Source organism: Homo sapiens, chromosome 18 (assembly GCF_000001405.40).
Source record: "Homo sapiens chromosome 18, GRCh38.p14 Primary Assembly".
Classification (NCBI taxonomy): Eukaryota; Metazoa; Chordata; class Mammalia; order Primates; family Hominidae; genus Homo; species Homo sapiens.
In genome coordinates, this window is record NC_000018.10 from 33,850,764 (window position 1) to 33,869,427 (window position 18,664).

General features: G+C 35.5%; 1 protein-coding gene across 30 annotated transcripts in view; it reads right to left on the minus strand.

Annotated features, from left to right (window-relative positions):
• Positions 1–336: 336 nt before the first annotated feature.
• NOL4 (nucleolar protein 4) overlaps positions 337–18,664 on the minus strand; it is a 373,814-nt gene continuing 355,486 nt past the window's right edge. For all 30 annotated transcript variants that reach the window (XM_047437902.1, XM_047437901.1, NM_001384470.1 and 27 more), the window contains one exon: positions 337–2,272. In XM_047437902.1, the coding sequence (XP_047293858.1) occupies positions 2,079–2,272 (194 nt within the window). In that variant the 3' untranslated portion in view covers positions 337–2,078. The remainder of the gene's footprint in view (positions 2,273–18,664) is intronic.

Here is an 18,664-nt window from a genome sequence, read left to right on the forward strand (position 1 = left end):
GTTTCATCCAAGATGTTAAATCGGGAAGAACTAAAAAATAACAGGTTACTCCTGAAAAAAAAAAGTAATAAAATATACAAAAATATTCTCTATTCATATTTGAATAATCAAATGAAGTAGTCTTGGCTTCCTAATTTCCTTACCCATTCTTGGAATAAATTCTTTATTAGAATGAATGTTGAGACCCTGGGGGATCTTAGGATATTCTTGAGAAATAAATTTGAAGTGCCAATTTTGTGCTAAACGTAGGTAGAAAATGGCGTTTTAGATTTTAAAAGTAAATGGCTAAAAATTAAGCATTATACCCTTCAGAAAGTTTATAAGGTTTGACAATCATTCTTTTAACACAGAAATCTGTTTATTAAACCAAACAAAACAGAGAAAATTATACCAGCCCTCAATTTTTGAATTTTCATTTAAATAAGCAAACTCTAAATCCACATCTTAAAAGATGTTTGTGCAGCTATGTATTTCCAAAATACTCATATTTCAATAAGATTTTTCACATTATATTCACCAACAGTATCACAAAAGTTTTTTTTTTGTTTTTTGTTTACATAATTGTAAGGAACAGTAATTCTAGAAACACTAGAAGAAAAAAGCATAGCAATGTCCACAGTTACAAGAAAAAGTGCACATTACTCGGTCACAATCACAGTCATTACTTGAAAAACTATATGTAACAAGTAGATAAGAAATATCACTGATGCCTCAAACTCATTGTCAAAAACTGAATGACATAAATTTTACATGAAATAAGGCAAATTCAGGAATGCACAAAGAATTTGTAATCCAACCAAAGCTAAACAACAGAAAAAAGTTGTATAAGAAGCATGAACTAAAGTACTTCTCCCTAAATATTTAAAAAATAGGCTTGTCTCAGTGCACAAAGAAAACATCACTCATGTGTATCCCACACTATAAAATAAGAAAGAAGGGTAAAGTATGGGGGATAGGAGGGCACAGTTCATTGTAAGTTGCAGCTGCATCCGCTGAGAGTTCCTTACATTATTTTTAGCTAGAACTGAAAATTATACAAATCATATCAGGAGATGTAATGGTCTTTTTGGAAACTATTTCTGAAAGAAATGAAAAGAAAACTACACACAAGAGTGCAAATTTTCAGATTGTCACTTGCAACCTCTTAACATTCAGTCATCTACATCCAGGTGCTGCTAGAGGGATGCCTGGAGACAGCAGCGGCAATCAGGAACGAGCAGCTCTAAGAAACCAAGGTGTGATTTTTTTTCAACAACATGTCTTGTCATTATTAAAAAAAAAATTCTGGGATGAAAACTGCTATGATAAAGTTGCAGTGTTGAGTGGGGTTTTTGAGATCAGCATGAGAGCAGAAATGCAGGCTTCTCTTGGAAGTAGTTCCTGATGTGACGATTGAAAGAACGTAGGCAAGGGTTTTTCCAGCATCAAGTGTTATTTTTGTAGAAAGAATTTGGAAAGAGGAGAAGGCAAAGGGATGTGGAAAAGGTACTTACAGTAGTTTCTCAAAACAGTTTTCTTTTAGGACCTATGAAAAAGTTACCAAAGTAAAAATGACAAGTTTGAATGAAAAACAAGTTTTCTTTTTATAAAAATTACATATTTTTTTAAAATACGAGATCCTTTTCATTGTTGTTATATCCTGTAGCAACAAGAAATTTGGCTTTTTTTTTTCTTTTTTTTTTTTTTGCCAGGTACTTCAGCTTTCAGTCCAATGAGTCAGTAGCAAATTCCACTAATATTTCAGCTGGATCTTGAACTATTGTTTTATACCACAAGCTTCTTCTGTTTTATCCTTGAATTAAGAATAGATAGCCTTTTATGCCCCTGATATTTATGGTGACACACTAAAACAAAAAGCAATAGGCTGGACATACTAAAGTAGCTCAAGTACTTCAGAGGTCAGAGTTCCTTTGAAGCACCTTAACACATCACTTACGGATCAAGGACAATGTGGCATAATGGAAGTATTTCTCTTAAAAGACTGTGCAGTAAGACCAGAAGTATCTCTGTTGGGAAATCAAAATGTCATTAGTGGAAACTGCAAATTTAGACCTCAGTGAATATGGTGGTCGTCTGTCTCAGTTCTGTTGTAAAATGAGATTTTCCAGTTCATCTGCAGATCGCAATAAAAATGCAGCTGATTCTCGATATCCTGCAACAAGCTGTCTCACGGCATTGATTTCAGTTGGACTCAGCTGGGGTCTGGAGTTTGAGCTGCTGGAGGATCCTGAGCTAGTCGCCAATTGTCTCTTCATGCTGAGATCAGTGGGTCCTAGAAAGAAAATCATCACAAAATTAGACATAAATATTATTTGTTCCAGCATCTTGGATGTGAGCATTCAATAAATTATAGTTGAATGAATTAATGAATTCTTCCACAAGAAGCTAGTGATCTCTTTAATCAAATACATCTACTCTCAGAAAGATTAATGAGCAATGTAATGGTAACCGAGTGGCTTCTCTTCGGTCTTCTCTCAGATGCCGAAATCAGCCTCTGGAAATCACCTCTTGCTGTAGAGAGATGGTGAAAACTTTCTTGGAACATGTGTTTTTTGAAAAATTCAATTTTAAATCTGTCTTCCATATGTTGTAGACGCTTCTCATAGTAGCATAACATGATGGGAATTACAAACATTTTTCATTTGTTACATTCATTAACAGATATCTTAGACCGCATCAATTTGCAATTTAAAAAAACTGTGATGCTAATGACTTTAGAGTACAAACTAGTCAACTTAGCAAAAAGGAAACTAAGGACTAAAGGACTTCAGGAATATGTTTAGAGTTTGACAACGTTTAAGTGGCACAACCAGGACTTGACTTAAGTATTTTATTATTATTATTTTTCATTTCAGGCAGATGTTGTTTACCATGTTGATTAGTATTAAAAGTGTTGACATATTACATTGGAATTTGCTTTAGAAGTGCAATAAGTGATTACTGCAAACAATACCACAGAGAACCTAGACATTTGGAATACTGACTTACGTGTTTAGGAATTTAATGTCATCTCTGTATTTATTTGCACAAAACACATTCATGTGCCGAAACCTTTTTTTCTTACATATTTAAGCCATCTGGTGGGTATGCTTTTTGACAACATTTTGTAAATTTTTACTTAAAAAGTATTTATAAAGTTATTTAAAATCTTTTATTCAGTCATTTGTGTTGAGAAGATACTTCTTTCAATTATTCTTTAAGTGTTCACTTTTATACTTCTTAGCTGACATTAAGCATTTACTGTAGTTATTAAATTTGCAGTATTAAATTTAAATCCTTGAATAAAACAGTACTAAGCACATAACTAAACATGTGTTCCAAAACTGTAATGATTCTATAACTTGAAAATGTTTTAACAGACTTTTCCTAAACATGCGTAAATTTTCAGATAATGGTATTCGTTTCATGAACTAAAACAAGAGATGTTATTTTATCCTTTTGGTTCTCCTTGAAGCATGATGGAGATAGGTCAAGACCCAACCCCCTCCACCCTCTACCTCCACAGAGGAGACAGATGTCCCATGAGAGGGAAATAGCTTCACTTGAATTTAATTAGAGCAGAGACAAGACTAGCACACAAGAACTCTGACATCTGAGAGAAATGTATTTCCACTTCTGTAGTGGCCTTTCAAAGCTTTGATTTTTCTAGCAGGACTTAGGTTCCATTTGTTCTGCTATTTACAAAATCATGAGACTGACACGACAAGCTGGAAGAGAGATGTGCGATGTCACATTTGCAAACAGAAGTTACTGAACCTGTGTTGAGGCAAATCATTAACATCATTGAGTTTATTTGGAAAATTCTGAGTGGATTAAAAAGGCATTATAACAGGAGTAGTGGTCTCCAGATGAACCCACTTTAAGTTTTGTTTTTCTTTATATTTAAGAAGCCCAGTACAAGGACAGATATTTATAACAGATATTGAAAGGGTTTTCCTCTCAGCTATGTAGTTATCTAGTATCTGGTTGGCTGACTGTCATTATTTCATTACAAGGTGTAACATTTTGATGGTTTTTGCTGTCAATCCAAGTTGATTGGCATCCTTAAGTAAAATTGAGAAAGGGTTGAGGCTAGGGCTCCAGTTCTTTCTAAAGTGAGGGAGATTGATTTTATTCTAATCGGCAGTTTTTGAATTACACCCTACCGCTGGCTCAGTGTTCTAAGCTTCCAAACCAAGACCTAGCTTTCACTTTCCTTCAGACCTTTGTTAGCACAGGCATAGTCTAGAGAAAGCTCTGCCATTTAGAGGCTATTCACATCTCCCAAGTTATTATTATTCTTTGTCTGAAAGAAAGTTGACATCATTATCTTGGCTTTTTTCAGATCTGCAGGATCAGGATAGAGTGCATAAACCAAAACCATAAGGAGTCCTTTAGCTGAGTGTTTGTTATCCATGTCTTCACTACTATGGGGTTGAGCAAGGAATCAAGCTAAAATAAAAATATTTGCAAATAAACAAGATATTTCACTAGGGACCAAATGGCCCTCACTGATGGTTGCTACCATTCATTTCTGCCTCATTGAGTGAATCCCATACTTGACTGGTTTGGCTTCATTATCCCCAACAATATGATCTGATTAGAATGCATATCAATTACAAGTAAAAATTCAAATGTTATAAAGATGCTACATTTAATTAAGTCTAGGAAAGTATTCTTGGAGACCTGCTAAAATCTCACACAAGGCTACTGAGAAGCACGGCTCTGGAAAAGCTGGACCAGTTAACAAGGAAATGACCAAGGAGAGTGACACAAAAGATACTTCAAGAGAAAGGATTTTGATATCCAAGGTTAAAGGCACATACCAAGGCAACTTGCTAGGCCCACACTTATCCAAGTGCCCACATTTTTACCAAAGTGATGCGAACCTGCTTTATGATCATTCTGAAAATATAAGAGACAAAAGATATTTCATGCTAACATACAATGCTGTTTGAAAAATTAAGCTCCACACACCAAAACGAATTATTGATTCATTTTTTGAGGTTTGAGGGATATTTAAGTTATAAATAAATTTCAGTTAAATGAAAATGTATATTTTCATTTTACTTCTTCATTTTCTTTTTCTTCATTTTCTTTTTCAAATTAAGTTATCAGTTGAATACTTCTCCCGTTTATGGTGCATTTTTGGTTGTTGTTTTAAATAGACTTATTTTTATGGTCATATTTTAGTGTCATTTATCCTTAGGTAGTAGGGCCCCTTAGGACAAAGTTTTGTTTTTGCAGTGTAAATTCTCTTTGAAAGACTATGGCATACATTTTTATTTATCAAAAATTAGACTGAAGGTAAGAATGCAAGGCCCATAAACGCAGGCACGCTTTGTGTCTCATTTACCGTATCATTCTGTGGAGATGTGTTGGTGCCTGGCACAAAGGAAGCCTCAATAATAATCAGTGACTGATGGATGTTTGTATTTGTAGAATCAATAAATGAGAAGTGCCAGATTCTTTCTATAGCCAATAATTAAGAAATAGGAAATAAGTGATGTTATTAATAGCACTAGTTATGGTTAAAACAAAACTAGTTAGACAAAAACCACGATGGTTTAATGTGACTTATTCAAGTAAAGTAACCTCTAATATATGGAAATATTATTATTGCCATAAAAGTCATATAAAATTATAAAAATGTAATTGCTTGAGTACAGTGATTTCCACATGAACCATTGCTGATAGAGAAAAATAAGTTATTGTCCATTTCCTAAATAATCATGTTTGCTTTACCACTAAATATTACCATGAGTCCTGAGTTGAATATAAAATAATTCCTAGCTTCATACAGCCTTCTCCTACATTCTCTTCTTCAGCTAGGACCTCCACTCCCAAGCAATAGACTATGAAATGTCTGGATAACTGGCAATTAATTCAACAATTTAAATAAGTGAAGAACATTTTAAATTAATTCTTTACTACAGGGGTTGGTGAAATTTTTAAACAAAGAACAAGGTAGTAAATATTTTAGTCATCTTAAGCCATGAGGCAGAATTGCAGATATTAATAATATGCAGGTACTTATACAAAAAGAGAGAAAGCAGATTACAACATTCTCATGGACAAAATTCAAACTATAACAATTGAGTCTTTGTTTTTAAATAAAGGTCTACTACTGAGGAGAGTAAAAAGCTTTTTTCTTAATTGAGCTTCACCGTTAGTGTTCCTTTTCATCAAAATCAACTGCAAATGTTCATCTATTAATGAAGATTTGTAGTGATATTTTAAGTGTTTCATCTTTGAAAATGTCTTTTTATAAATTTTTTTCAAATACTTTTATCAAGTCACAACCATATTATTTTAATTGAGCATATTCATCACTTAAAAGTCATTATAGAATTCTATTAGATCCTTCTCCTGATAGTTACCTTTTATTAGGTCAATACACTGCAGATTAATTACTTCCTATTAAAGTTTAAACTGGAAGCTCCTCAACTGAACAGTGAAAAGGAATGTGAAATATAAGAATTTACTTTGCGTTTGCATCAATGTACTAAAATATTGCTGAGTCTGTGGTATGTGCTCAGAAAATATATCCACGCAAATCTGCTTGGGAATGGAGATTTTACTTCTTCTTTTAACTTCTGATAGGACAAGAAGCTTATAAGCAGTTTTCTATTACTGTGATTCAAACAGTATTGGCCATCATCAAAATAACTTTACCACAGCATAAGCTTTGCATATAAGTATTGTTTTATCTTGTAATTTCAGATCGAATTCAACAAGAAACATTGCCAATTCTGCAGCAAAAATTAATTTCCAAAACCATTGAGTGTTTACTGATAGTGTCTGAGGGCAGTTCTTATTCAGAAAAAATTTAATATTAGCCCTGATCTGGAAAAAAAATTGTAATAAAACTTTACCAGGAAGCCATCCAACTGCTGTGTGGTAGGACAACTCAGTATATTCAGATTCTATTCTGACAAAATTTCACAGTAATGAACATGGTTAATTGATGAGAACAAATGAAGTTTAAAGGTGATAGCACTGTTTTAACCATGAATGAAATACTGAAGTGTTTTCCACAATACAACTGCTAATGGCTCTTTCAAGGAATAACCATATGCTTTATGTTTTAACAAACTTTGTAAATATGTCCAAATAACCCTCTTTGTGCTTCACACCTCTTAGTTCCACTTCGGATTGTATTGAATTAGTTTTTTTGCAACTTTGAAAATATTCTCACCTATAGGTGTTCCACACTTACTATTCATAGAGGCTAATTATTCATCACTTCAAACTTATCATTGACTCCTCCAATAAGCAACAACAGAGTAGTATTAGTACCATCTCAACTCAAGAGGCAAGGAAAACTACTTCAAACTAGAGTTACCTTGTTTGTTAATTGACTATTCATATTAGCAATATTTCAATTTCCTCAAGCTTTCAAGCACTGTTCTTGCCATAATGCTAAAAGTCTTAAGAAGGCTTATTTTTCTGGACACAATTATTTAGCTTTTGCAGTAAAATGTGATTTAATAAACTTGCTATCAGTAAATGAAGTGATTTTCCCTGGTTGGCTAACAAATTCGCCCCTTGAAAACTTTGTTTGTAGGCCATTTCATTTCTTATTTTTGTGATCAGATGTTTAATCAAGGTATTCATGATGATATTGTAGTTCTTTTGCCAAAGAGTAAAAAAAAAATCAACTATAAAACCTCAGGATTTTAGCTAAGTTAGCTAATATAGATAAAGTATCCATCCAGCACAATGCCTGGTTATACTAGATATTCTATAAGTGGTAATTTCCTTCTCCAGATGACTAAATATTTATCAATGGGCTAAAGATATCTAAAATATCACACTAAATATACATTGCTAGATTCAACATGCTAATGAATTTCATTTATATTCACAAGTCTGATTACACTATAATTTGCCTTTCTAATACTCTTTTTGATGATAGAATTTTAGTAGCATCATAAAATGAGCTGGAGTACTTTCTCCTCTTTTATCCATTTTTCCTTCTTTTAGAATTGTTTGTCTAAAGTGAAGATTATCTAGCCTTTGAAGCCTTGGTAAAAATTTGTAAAACCATCAGAGTCTGATATTTTTTAATGGGCAGATTTTTATAATACTGATTCAGTTTGTGTAATGGTTACAAGTTCATTTGGAATATCCATTTTTGAATTAATATTGGCCAATTATGCTTTTGTAAAACATGGTCTAATATCTCTAAACTTTCAAGTATAATGGTATAAAAATATTAATTTTATACTGTTTAAACTTTTATTTTTTAAAATTTCTATTATGTTTCATCTGTCTTTATTCATCTTGTCATATTTTTAAAAAAGCCCTTTCAAGAATGCTGCTTTTGCCTTTGTTAGTCTTCCCTATTGCTTCTTTGATTTGTATTTAATCAATTTTTTCACTTATTCTATTGTCTTTGGGTTTTCTCTGTTTTGACTTCTCAGGTTAAATCATTGGTTCATTAACTTTATATTTTTTTCTAATGTGTATGCCAAAATACTAAATTAGTTATATTCCATAAATCTAGTTATGTAGCATTTTCATCTTTGATAATTATAAATAGTTATCAACACAATGCGATCTGTATGTTAATGATTATTTGGATGTTTCCATTTGCTTAGGTGGTCAATATATGTGAAAGAATATGTATTGTTAGACAGTTGGGGGTCAGATTCTAGATATAGCTATTAGATTAAATTTTAATTATTTGTTTCAAATGCAAATGTTTTTCTGGTGTAACTTTTTTTGTTTGTTTTTTGTTTTTCTGAGAGACTTGTGTCAAAACTCTATGGCTATCATTATGACTTTCAATTTCTCCTTGCTATTTTGTTACTTTTTAATTTAATTTTGAGGCTTTATTATTGGGGTACATAGTTGTATCAGTCCATTCTTATACTGCTATAAATACCAGAGGCCAGGCATAGTGGCTTACGCCTATAATCCTAGCACTTTGGGAGGCCGAGGTGGGTGGATCACTTGTGGTCAGGTGTACAAGACCAGCCTGACCAACATGGTGAAACCTAGTCTTTACTAAAAATACAAAAATTAGCCCGGCATGGTGGTGGGCACCTGTAATCCCAGCTAATTGGGAGGCTAAGCAGGAGAATGGCTTGAGCTCAGGAGGCAGAGGTTTCAGTGGGCCAAGATCATGCCGCTACACTCCAGCCTGGGGGACAGAGTGAGAATCTGTCTCAAAAATAAATAAATAAAATGAAAATAAATACCCAAGACTGGGTTATTTTAAAAAGGAAAGAGGTTTAATTGACTCACAGTTATGCATGGCTGGGGAGGCCTCAGGAAACTTACAGTCATGGCAGAGGGAAAGCAGGCATATCTTACAAGGTGGCAGGCGAGAGAGCACATGTGAAGGTGGAACTGTCAAACACTTATAAAACTATCAGATCTTGTGAAAACTCACTATCATGAGAAAAGCATGGGGGAAACCACCCCCATGGTCCAATAACTTCCCACCAGGTCCCTCCCAAAACACATGGGGATAATGGGAATTACAATTTGAGAGGAGATTTGGGTGAAGACGCAGAGCCAAACCATATTCTGCCCCTACCTCCCCCCAAATCTCACATCCTTTTTACATTTCAAAACCAATCATGCCTCCCTGACAGTCTCCCAAAACCTTAACTCATTCCAGCATTAACCCAAAAGTCCAAGTCCTAAGTCTCATCTGAGACAAGGCAATGCCCTTCTGTCTAGGAGTTTGTGCAAGTTAGTGATTGTTACTTTTGCACAAATGTAATAGTTACTTCCTGAGACTTTGCTGAAGTTGCTTATCAGCTTAAGGAGATTTTGGGCTGAAACAATGGAGTTTTCTAGATATAGAATCATGTTGTCTGCAAACAGGGACAATTTGACTTCCTCTTTTCCTAATTGAATACCCTTTATTTCCTTCTCCTGCCTAATTGCCCTGGCCAGAACTTCCAACACTATGTTGAATAGGAGTGGTGAGAGAGGGCATCCCTGTCTTGTGCCAGTTTTCAAAGGGAATGCTTCCAGTTTTTGCCCATTCAGTATGATATTGGCTGTGGGTTTGTCACAGATAGCTCTTATTATTTTGAGATACGTCCCATCAATACCTAATTTATTGAGAGTTTTTAGCATGAAGAGTTGTTGAATTTTGTCAAAGGCCTTTTCTGCATCTATTGAGATAATCATGTGGTTTTTGTCTTTGGTTCTGTTTATATGCTGGATTACATTTATTGATTTGCCTATATTGAACCAGACTTGCATCCGAGGGATGAAGCTCACTTGATCATAGTGGATAAGCTTTTTGATGTGCTGCTGGATTCGGTTTGCCAGTATTTTATTGAGGATTTTTGCATCAATGTTCATCAAGGATATTGGTCTAAAATTCTCTTTTTTGGTTGTGTCTCTGCCCGGCTTTGGTATCAGGATGATGGTGGCCTCATAAAATGAGTTAGGGAGGATTCCTTCTTTTTCTATTGATTGGAATAGTTTCAGAAGGAATGGTACCAGTTCCTCCTTGTACCTCTGGTAGAATTTGGCTGTGAATCCATCTGGTCCTGGACTCTTTTTGGTTGGTAAGCTATGGATTATTGCCACAATTTCAACTCCTGTTATTGGTCTATTCAGAGATTCAACTTCTTCCTGGTTTAGTCTTGGGAGAGTGTATGCGTCAAGGAATTTATCCATTTCTTCTGGATTTTCAAGTTTATTTGTGTAGAGGTGTTTGTAGTATTCTCTGATGGTAGTTTGTATTTCTGTGGGATTGGTGGTGATATCCCCTTTATCATTTTTTATTGTGTCTATTTGATTCTTCTCTCTTTTTTTCTTTATTAGTCTTGCTAGCAGTGTATCAACATCAGCAAAGTCTCAGGATACAAAATCAATGTACAAAAATCAAAAGCATTCTTATACATCAATAACAGACAAACAGAGAGCCAAATCATGAGTGAACTCCCATTCACAATTGCTTCAAAGAGAATAAAATACCTAGAAATCCACCTTATAAGGGACATGAAGGACCTCTTCAAGGAGAACTACAAACCACTGCTCAATTAAATAAAAGAGGATACAAACAAATGGAAGAACATTCCATGCTCATGGGTAGGAAGAATCAATATCATGAAAATGGCCATACTGCCCAAGGTAATTTATAGATTCAATGCCATCCCCATCAAGCTACCAATGACTTTCTTCACAGAATTGGAAAAAACTACTTTCAAGTTCATATGGAACCAAAAAAGAGCCCACATCGCCAAGTCAAACCTAAACCAAAAGAACAAAGCTGGAGGCATCATGCTACCTGACTTCAAACTATACTACAAGGCTACAGTAACCAAAACAGCATGGTACTGGTACCAAAACAGAGATATAGATCAATGGAACAGAACAGAGCCCTCAGAAATAAAGCCACATATCTACAACTATCTGATCTTTGACAAACCTGAGAAAAACAAGCAATGGGGAAAGGATTCCCTATTTAATAAATGGTGCTGGGAAAACTGGCTAGCCATATGTAGAAAGCTGAAACTGGATCCCTTCCTTACACCTTATACAAAAATTAATTCAAGATGGATTAAAGACTTAAACGTTAGACCTAAAACCATAAAAACCCTAGAAGAAAACACAGGCATTACCATTCAGGACATAGGCACGGGCAAGGATTTCATGTCTAAAACACCAAAAGCAATGGCAACAGAAGCCAAAATTGACAAATGGGATCTAATTAAACTCAAGAGCTTCTGCACAGCAAAAGAAACTACCATCAGAGTGAACCGGCAACGCACAAAATGGGAGAAAATTTTCGCAACCTACTCATCTGACAAAGGGCTAATATCCAGAATCTACAATGAACTTAAACAAATTTACAAGAAAAAAACAAAGAGCCCCATCAAAAAGTGGACAAAGGACACGAACAGAAACTTCTCAAAAGAAGACATTTATGCAGCCAAAAAACACATGAAAAAATGCTCACCATCACTGGCCATCAGAGAAATGCAAATCTAAACCACAATGAGATATCATCTCACACCAGTTAGAATGGCAATCATTAAAAAGTCAGGAAACAACAGCTACTGGAGAGGATGTGGAGAAATAGGAACACTTTTACACTGTTGGTGGGACTGTAAACTAGTTCAACCATTGTGGAAGTCAGTGTGGTGATTCCTCAGGGATCTAGAACTAGAAATACCATTTGACCCAGCCATCCCATTACTGGGAATATACCCAAAGGACGATAAATCATGCTGCTATAAAGACACATGCACACGTATGTTTATTGCGGCACTGTTCACAATAGCAAAGACTTGGAACCAAGCCAAATGTCCAACCATGATAGACTGGATTAAGAAAATGTGGCACATATACACCATGGAATACTATGCAGCCATAAAAAATGATGAGTTCATGTCCTTTGTAGGGACATGGATGAAATTGGAAATCATCATTCTCAGTAAACTATCGCAAGAACAAAAAACCAAACACCACATATTCTCACTTATAGGTGGGAATTGAACAATGAGAACACATGGACACAGGTACGGTAACATCACACTCTGGGGACTGTTGTGGGGTAGGGGAAGGGGGGAGGGATAGCATTGGGAGATATACCTAATGCTAGATGATGAGTTAATGGGTGCAGCACACCAGCATGTCACATGTATACATATGTAACTAACCTGCACATTGTGCATATGTACCCTAAACTTAAAGTATAATAATAATAAAAAAAAGTTACTTCCAAGATACAGTGGGGATACAGGCATTGCATAAATGCTTTCATTCCAAATGGGAGAAACTGGCCAAAACAACAAGGCTACAGGCCCCATACAAGTCTGAAACCCAGTTGGGCAGTCATGAAATCTTAAAGCTCTGAAATGATCTTCTTTGACTCATGTCTCACATCCAGGGCATGCTGATGCACAGGGTGGTCTCTCACAGCCTTGGGCAGCTCCCTCATGGGCTGGCATTGAGTGACTGAGGCTTTTTCAAGCACATGGTGCAAGTTGTCAGTGGATCTACTATTCTGGGGTCTGGAGGATGGTGGCCCTCTTCTAGGCAGTGCTCCAGTGGGGACTCCATGTGAGGACTCCAATCCCAAATTTCCCTTCCACACAGCCCTAATGGAGGTTCTCCATGAGGGCTCCATCCCTGCAGCAGACTTCTGCCTGGATATCCAGGTGTTCCCATACAGCCTCCAAAATCTAGGCAGAGGTTCCGAAGCCTCAAATCTTGACTTCTGTACACCAGCAGGTCAATCACCATGTGGAAGCCACAAAGGCTTGGGGACTGCATCCCCTGAAGCAATGGCTGAACCTTTACCTTGGCCCCTTTTAGCCACAACTGGAGCTGGAGTGGCTGGGATGCAGGGCACCAAGTCCCAAGGCTGCACACAGCAGCAAGTCCTGGGCTTGGCCCAGGAAACCATTTGTTCCTCCTAGACCTCCAGGCCTATGATGGGAGTTACTGCTGCCAAGATCTCTGACATGCCCTGGAGACATTTTCCCCTTTGTCTTGGTATTGACATTCTGCTCCTCACTACTTATGCAAATTTCTGTAGCTGGCTTGAATTTCTCCCCAGAAATGGGTTTTTCTTTTCTATCTCATTGTGAGACTGCAAAATTTTCTAACTTTTATGCCCTGTTTCTGTTTGAAACATAAGTTCTAATTTCAGATCATCCCTCTCAAGTTCAAAGTTCCACAGATCTAGGGCAGTGGCAAATTGCCACCAGCATAGCAAGAGTGACCTTTGCTCCAGTTCCCAAGAAGTTTCTCATCTCCACCTGAGACCACTTCAACCTGGACTTCATTATCCACATCGTTATCAGCATTTTGGTCAAAACCATTCAACAAGTCTCTAGGAAGTTCCAAACTGTCCCACATCTTCCTGTTTTCCTCTGAGCCCTCCAAACTGTTCCAACTGCTGCCCCTTACCCAGTTCGAAAGTTGCTTCCACATTTTCAGGTTATCTTTATAGCAGTTTCCCCCTGTCTATGGTACCAATTTCCTATATTAGTCTATTCTCACACTGCTATAAGGAAATACCTGAGACTGGATAATTTATAAAGGAAAGAGGTTTAACTGAGCCATAATTCTGCATGCCTGGGGAGGCCCCAGGAAACTTACAATCATGGCAGAAGCAGAAGTTAACACATCTTATATGGTGGCAGGTGAGAGAGTATGTGAAGGAGGAACTGTCAAACACTAACAAAACCATCGGATCTCATGAGAACTCACTTACCTTCATGAGAACAGCATGAGGGAAACCTCTCCCATGATTTAATCACCTCCCATCATGTCCCTCCCTCAACAAGTAGTGATTATGGGGATTACAATTTGAAATGAGATTTGGGTGGGGAAACAGAGCCAAATCATATCAATAGTACCTAGACAATTGTAACCTTCTGGTGAACAGTTACTCTCATTATTAGTTAATAAATATTTAATTCCCCTAAGCTTTCATATTAAAGCCAGTTACAGTGGTTCCTCAGTATCCTTAGGGACTTGGGTCCAGGATACCAAAATCCAGGATACTCAAGTCCTTTATATTAAATGGCACAGTATTTAGATATAACCCATGTGCATCCTCTGATATGTTTAAAATCATCTCTCGATTACTTATAATACTGAATATAACGTAAATGCTATATAAATATTTGTTATACTGTATGTTTTCATTTGTATTATTTTTGTTGTATTGTTACTTTCGATTTTTTTCCAGTATTTTTGATCTGCCGTTGGTTCAGTCTGGAGATATGGAGCCCACTGACACAGAGGGACAGCTGTAATGTCATACACCCTCACATAAAAATTCTTTCAATACTTCTGCAAGATTGTATTTTATCTGGGTCACTGCTATAAAAAAAAAACTACATTTTATTTATGCATCCACCTGAGAATTTGTCCTTTAACAAATGGTGGATAACAACAGGACCAAATATGAGAGGTAAGTATAAGGTCTTGGAACCCTCCATCTTCAGATAACTTACCCTTTGATTAGAGAAAAGATTGATACTACAGTTTGGTGGTAACTATTTGTCTCTTCTGCAGTCTATGTCAAACCAAAGCCATTTTCAAACCAGTTAGGTCTAACTGTAACCCTAATATGATTGTGCTTTCAAACACTTAACTCCTCCTGATGTCATTAAGTTTACACTTCTCTATTTAGTTAACATTGATTAATCAATATTAGGTTACCAATAAATAGTATCATTTTCTACAACGTAACAAGTTGCTAAGATACATATTGTACACATACTTAAGAAAATACAAAAAGCAAGAAATGTATCACTGTCAAGGCCAAGTAACTGTTTAAGGCATTATGCAAGGGAGAAAAGAGAACCTTATAGACTGTACTCCCCCACCAAAGTTGTAAGACTTCTTTCTAGCAAAGCTAAGGATCAAACATTGACAGCATTTGCAGGTTAAATTAGATCTCCTTCATAATATATTCCTGGACTGATTTGAGGGCAATTTTGAATGTTTACTTAAAAGATTAATTTTAGTTTAAGACTGTAAATATCAATCTCCCACACGTTTGAAAAATTAAGTACTGCAAAACTCAAATCTCCTGGACTTGCTTTTTTTAAATTCTAAATTTTTACACCAATTAAAACATTTTAAAATCTTCTTTTCCCACTGTCTTTATCCATTTGTGTTTTATTTCATTTTTCTGATCTAAATTCACCTTGTTTAAAAAAAGACAGAAAAATTGCTGTTGAACATCTCAGCATTTTGCTTTTTATCTAAGGGGGTTTTCTACACATTAATTTTAAAGAGAAGCAGTTATTTGCCACATTGGCCTTTCTAATCTTTCCTCTACTTGCATTTGCTAATTCTCAGTACTCAGCTATGTAAACTGACTGAGTTTATTCAGTAAATGACCTTTCTACCCAAGCTTCAAATTCAGTATTTTGTGGAGACCTAACTAATCCTTTGATAAATCACAGGATAACCTAAAGTGAGAATCAGTGTCCCAGCAGTTTTAGAAATTTGTAAAGCGAAAGACTCCTAGCATGCTTCTGTTTCCAGGCAATTTTTGGCTTCTGGGAAAAGATACAAATACTGCAGGAGAGAGAAGAGTTACTTTTTAACTTAAGCTGAACAAACATACTACATAATGGCATAATGATTTACTGTATTATTTGTTTATGTATATATTTACATACATGTATACATTTTCAAATAACAGGAAGCAATCCCTAAAACCAGAAAGAATAAAGCATGAATTTATTATTCTTCAGAGAGCCTATGAGGTCAAAAATATCACAATTGCTTAGACCATTGGGTTCTCTGGCCACTGTTAAAGAAAAGAGAATCTTATGATTTGTACTCCCCTACCATTCATAATTCAACTTCATTTCTCCTGTTTCAACAAGCTGACAAATAAACAAGGAAAATAGTACTATTTATAGTTTACTTGTAAATACCGTAGGGGGTTAATTGTTTGCCTAAATTCACATAGCTTGGAAGTTTCTACATTAAGATTTGAACCTGGGTTTTCCACTTGCTAATTTTACTATCTTATAGCTGTGTGCTGCATAATTTTTGTCTGTATATTAAATGAGATTTCATCATTTGGAGATTAAACTTGTGTTCAAGTTCAAACTCATTAGTAAATTTTTACTATTTTCTTGAGTTATCAGTGCTCTAACAAAGCTAGAACATTTAATTTACATCTTTAAAGAGTCTTCAAATATTTCTGGAAATAGATTGAATAAACACAAATGTACAGATAAATTTTACAACTGACAGTAAAAAATTGCGGCCTATTGATTTTCTGTTCCCTTAAAAGTGAAATAAAATAAATTTGTAAAAGAATAAAACTGTCTGGTATTTCCTCAGGGCATTTTGGAGGTTTTCGTCTTATCACGCCCCTTGCTTACCACAATTCATACTAATCCCTGGAAATCCCTGGAAAGTTAAGACTCTAATGTGTGTGTATGTAAACACACACACACACACACACACACACACACAATTCCATATATATATAGAATTGGCTCATGCAATTATATAGATTGAAAAGTCCCAAGATCTGTAGTCAGCAAGCTAGAGATCCAGAAGGGCCAGTTGTGTAGTTCCAGTCTGAGTGTGAAGACCTGAGATTCAAGAGAGCTGACTCTTAGTCCAAGATCCAGGAGGCTCAAGGCCCAAGAAGAACTAATATTTCAGCTTGACTCCAAAAGTAAAAAAAGACCAATGTCTTGGCTCAAGAAGTCATGCAGGAGAATTCCCTCTTATTAAACCTTTTTTGTCCTTCTCAAGTCTTCAATTGATGGGATGATGTCCACCTACATTAGGGAGGGCAATATGCTTTACTCGGTCTACTGATTCTTTATCTTTTTTTTTTTTTTGAGAGAGTCTTGCTCTGTTGCCCATTCTCAGGTGGAGTGACATGATCATGACTCATTGCAGCCTTGACCTCTAGAGCTCGAGTGATCCTCCCACCTCAGCCTCCAGAGTATCTGGGGCTACAGGCCATGCTACTACACCTGGGCACCTGGGTAATTTTTTTTTTTTTTCAGAGATGGGGATTTGCTATGTTGCCCAGGCTGGTCTCGAACATCTGGGCTCAAGCAAACCACCTGCTTCAGCTAGGATTATAGGTGTGAGCCACTGAGCCCACCCTGATTCAAATGTTAATCTCATACAGAAACACCTCACAGACATATATAGAAAAATGGTTGGTCATATGTTGGGCATCTTATAGCCCAGTCAAGTTGACACATACAATTAACCATCACATTTATATACTCTATTCAGGAGAATTCCCTTACAATATCCCAAAGGGAAGGTATTCTAAATCACATTCAATATTTTGAGATAATTACTAAGACATGTTCACTATAACATAGATGCCTGTTACAACAATACAAGATTTAATAGGAGTTGCTTTTTGTTCTGTATGTTTAATGGTCATATGAAATATTTTAAATTCCTGTATTTCACACACACACACACACACACACACACACACACACACACACACGTTTATCCCAGAGTGATTAAATTTGGTAGTTTATTCCACTCCTTTAAAAACTTGGGACAATGAAAATCTATAACAGAAACACTGATGCCTCATAAGGTAAGACACATGAATTAGTGAAGAATTAGCTCCTCTGGAATTGAGATTACTAGTAATTAACAATGAAATTGATAGCTGTTAAGGATACTATAATATGTTAGTATTATAAAAATCCAATACAACCCTCAGTTTAGTCATTATTATATTGGAAAATATTATTACAAATTTCTTAAGGTGCTGTGAAATAATTTGTCTCACTGTTTTAAAGTACAACATTAAAAAAATGGTCCTCTTTTTGGCAATTTGCTGCTTCCTATCACTATCAATAACCTAACAAATATGTAGGTACCTATGATATGTCATCTGTATTCACATATTTTAAGTCCCTCAAATTTTACTGTAAGTAGATAATAATTATAAAATAATATTACAGCACATAAGATATTTATATAGAATACTATAAATATAAGTTCATATTTATAAGGTATATATTTATAGGACAAAGTACACATGAGATGGTTTAAGTTTGATCCATTTGTTTTTAAACTTCTAAGAGACTTCTTTTTTACTTTTTGTCAAATGAGAATCAGCAAATTTTAATCAACTTACGTATTAAGAAGATGTGTAAGTGTTTTATAGACAAGCTAATTTTAATATTTGTTGCTTTGGGAGTAGGGATGAAATTGGGGTGGGTAGATC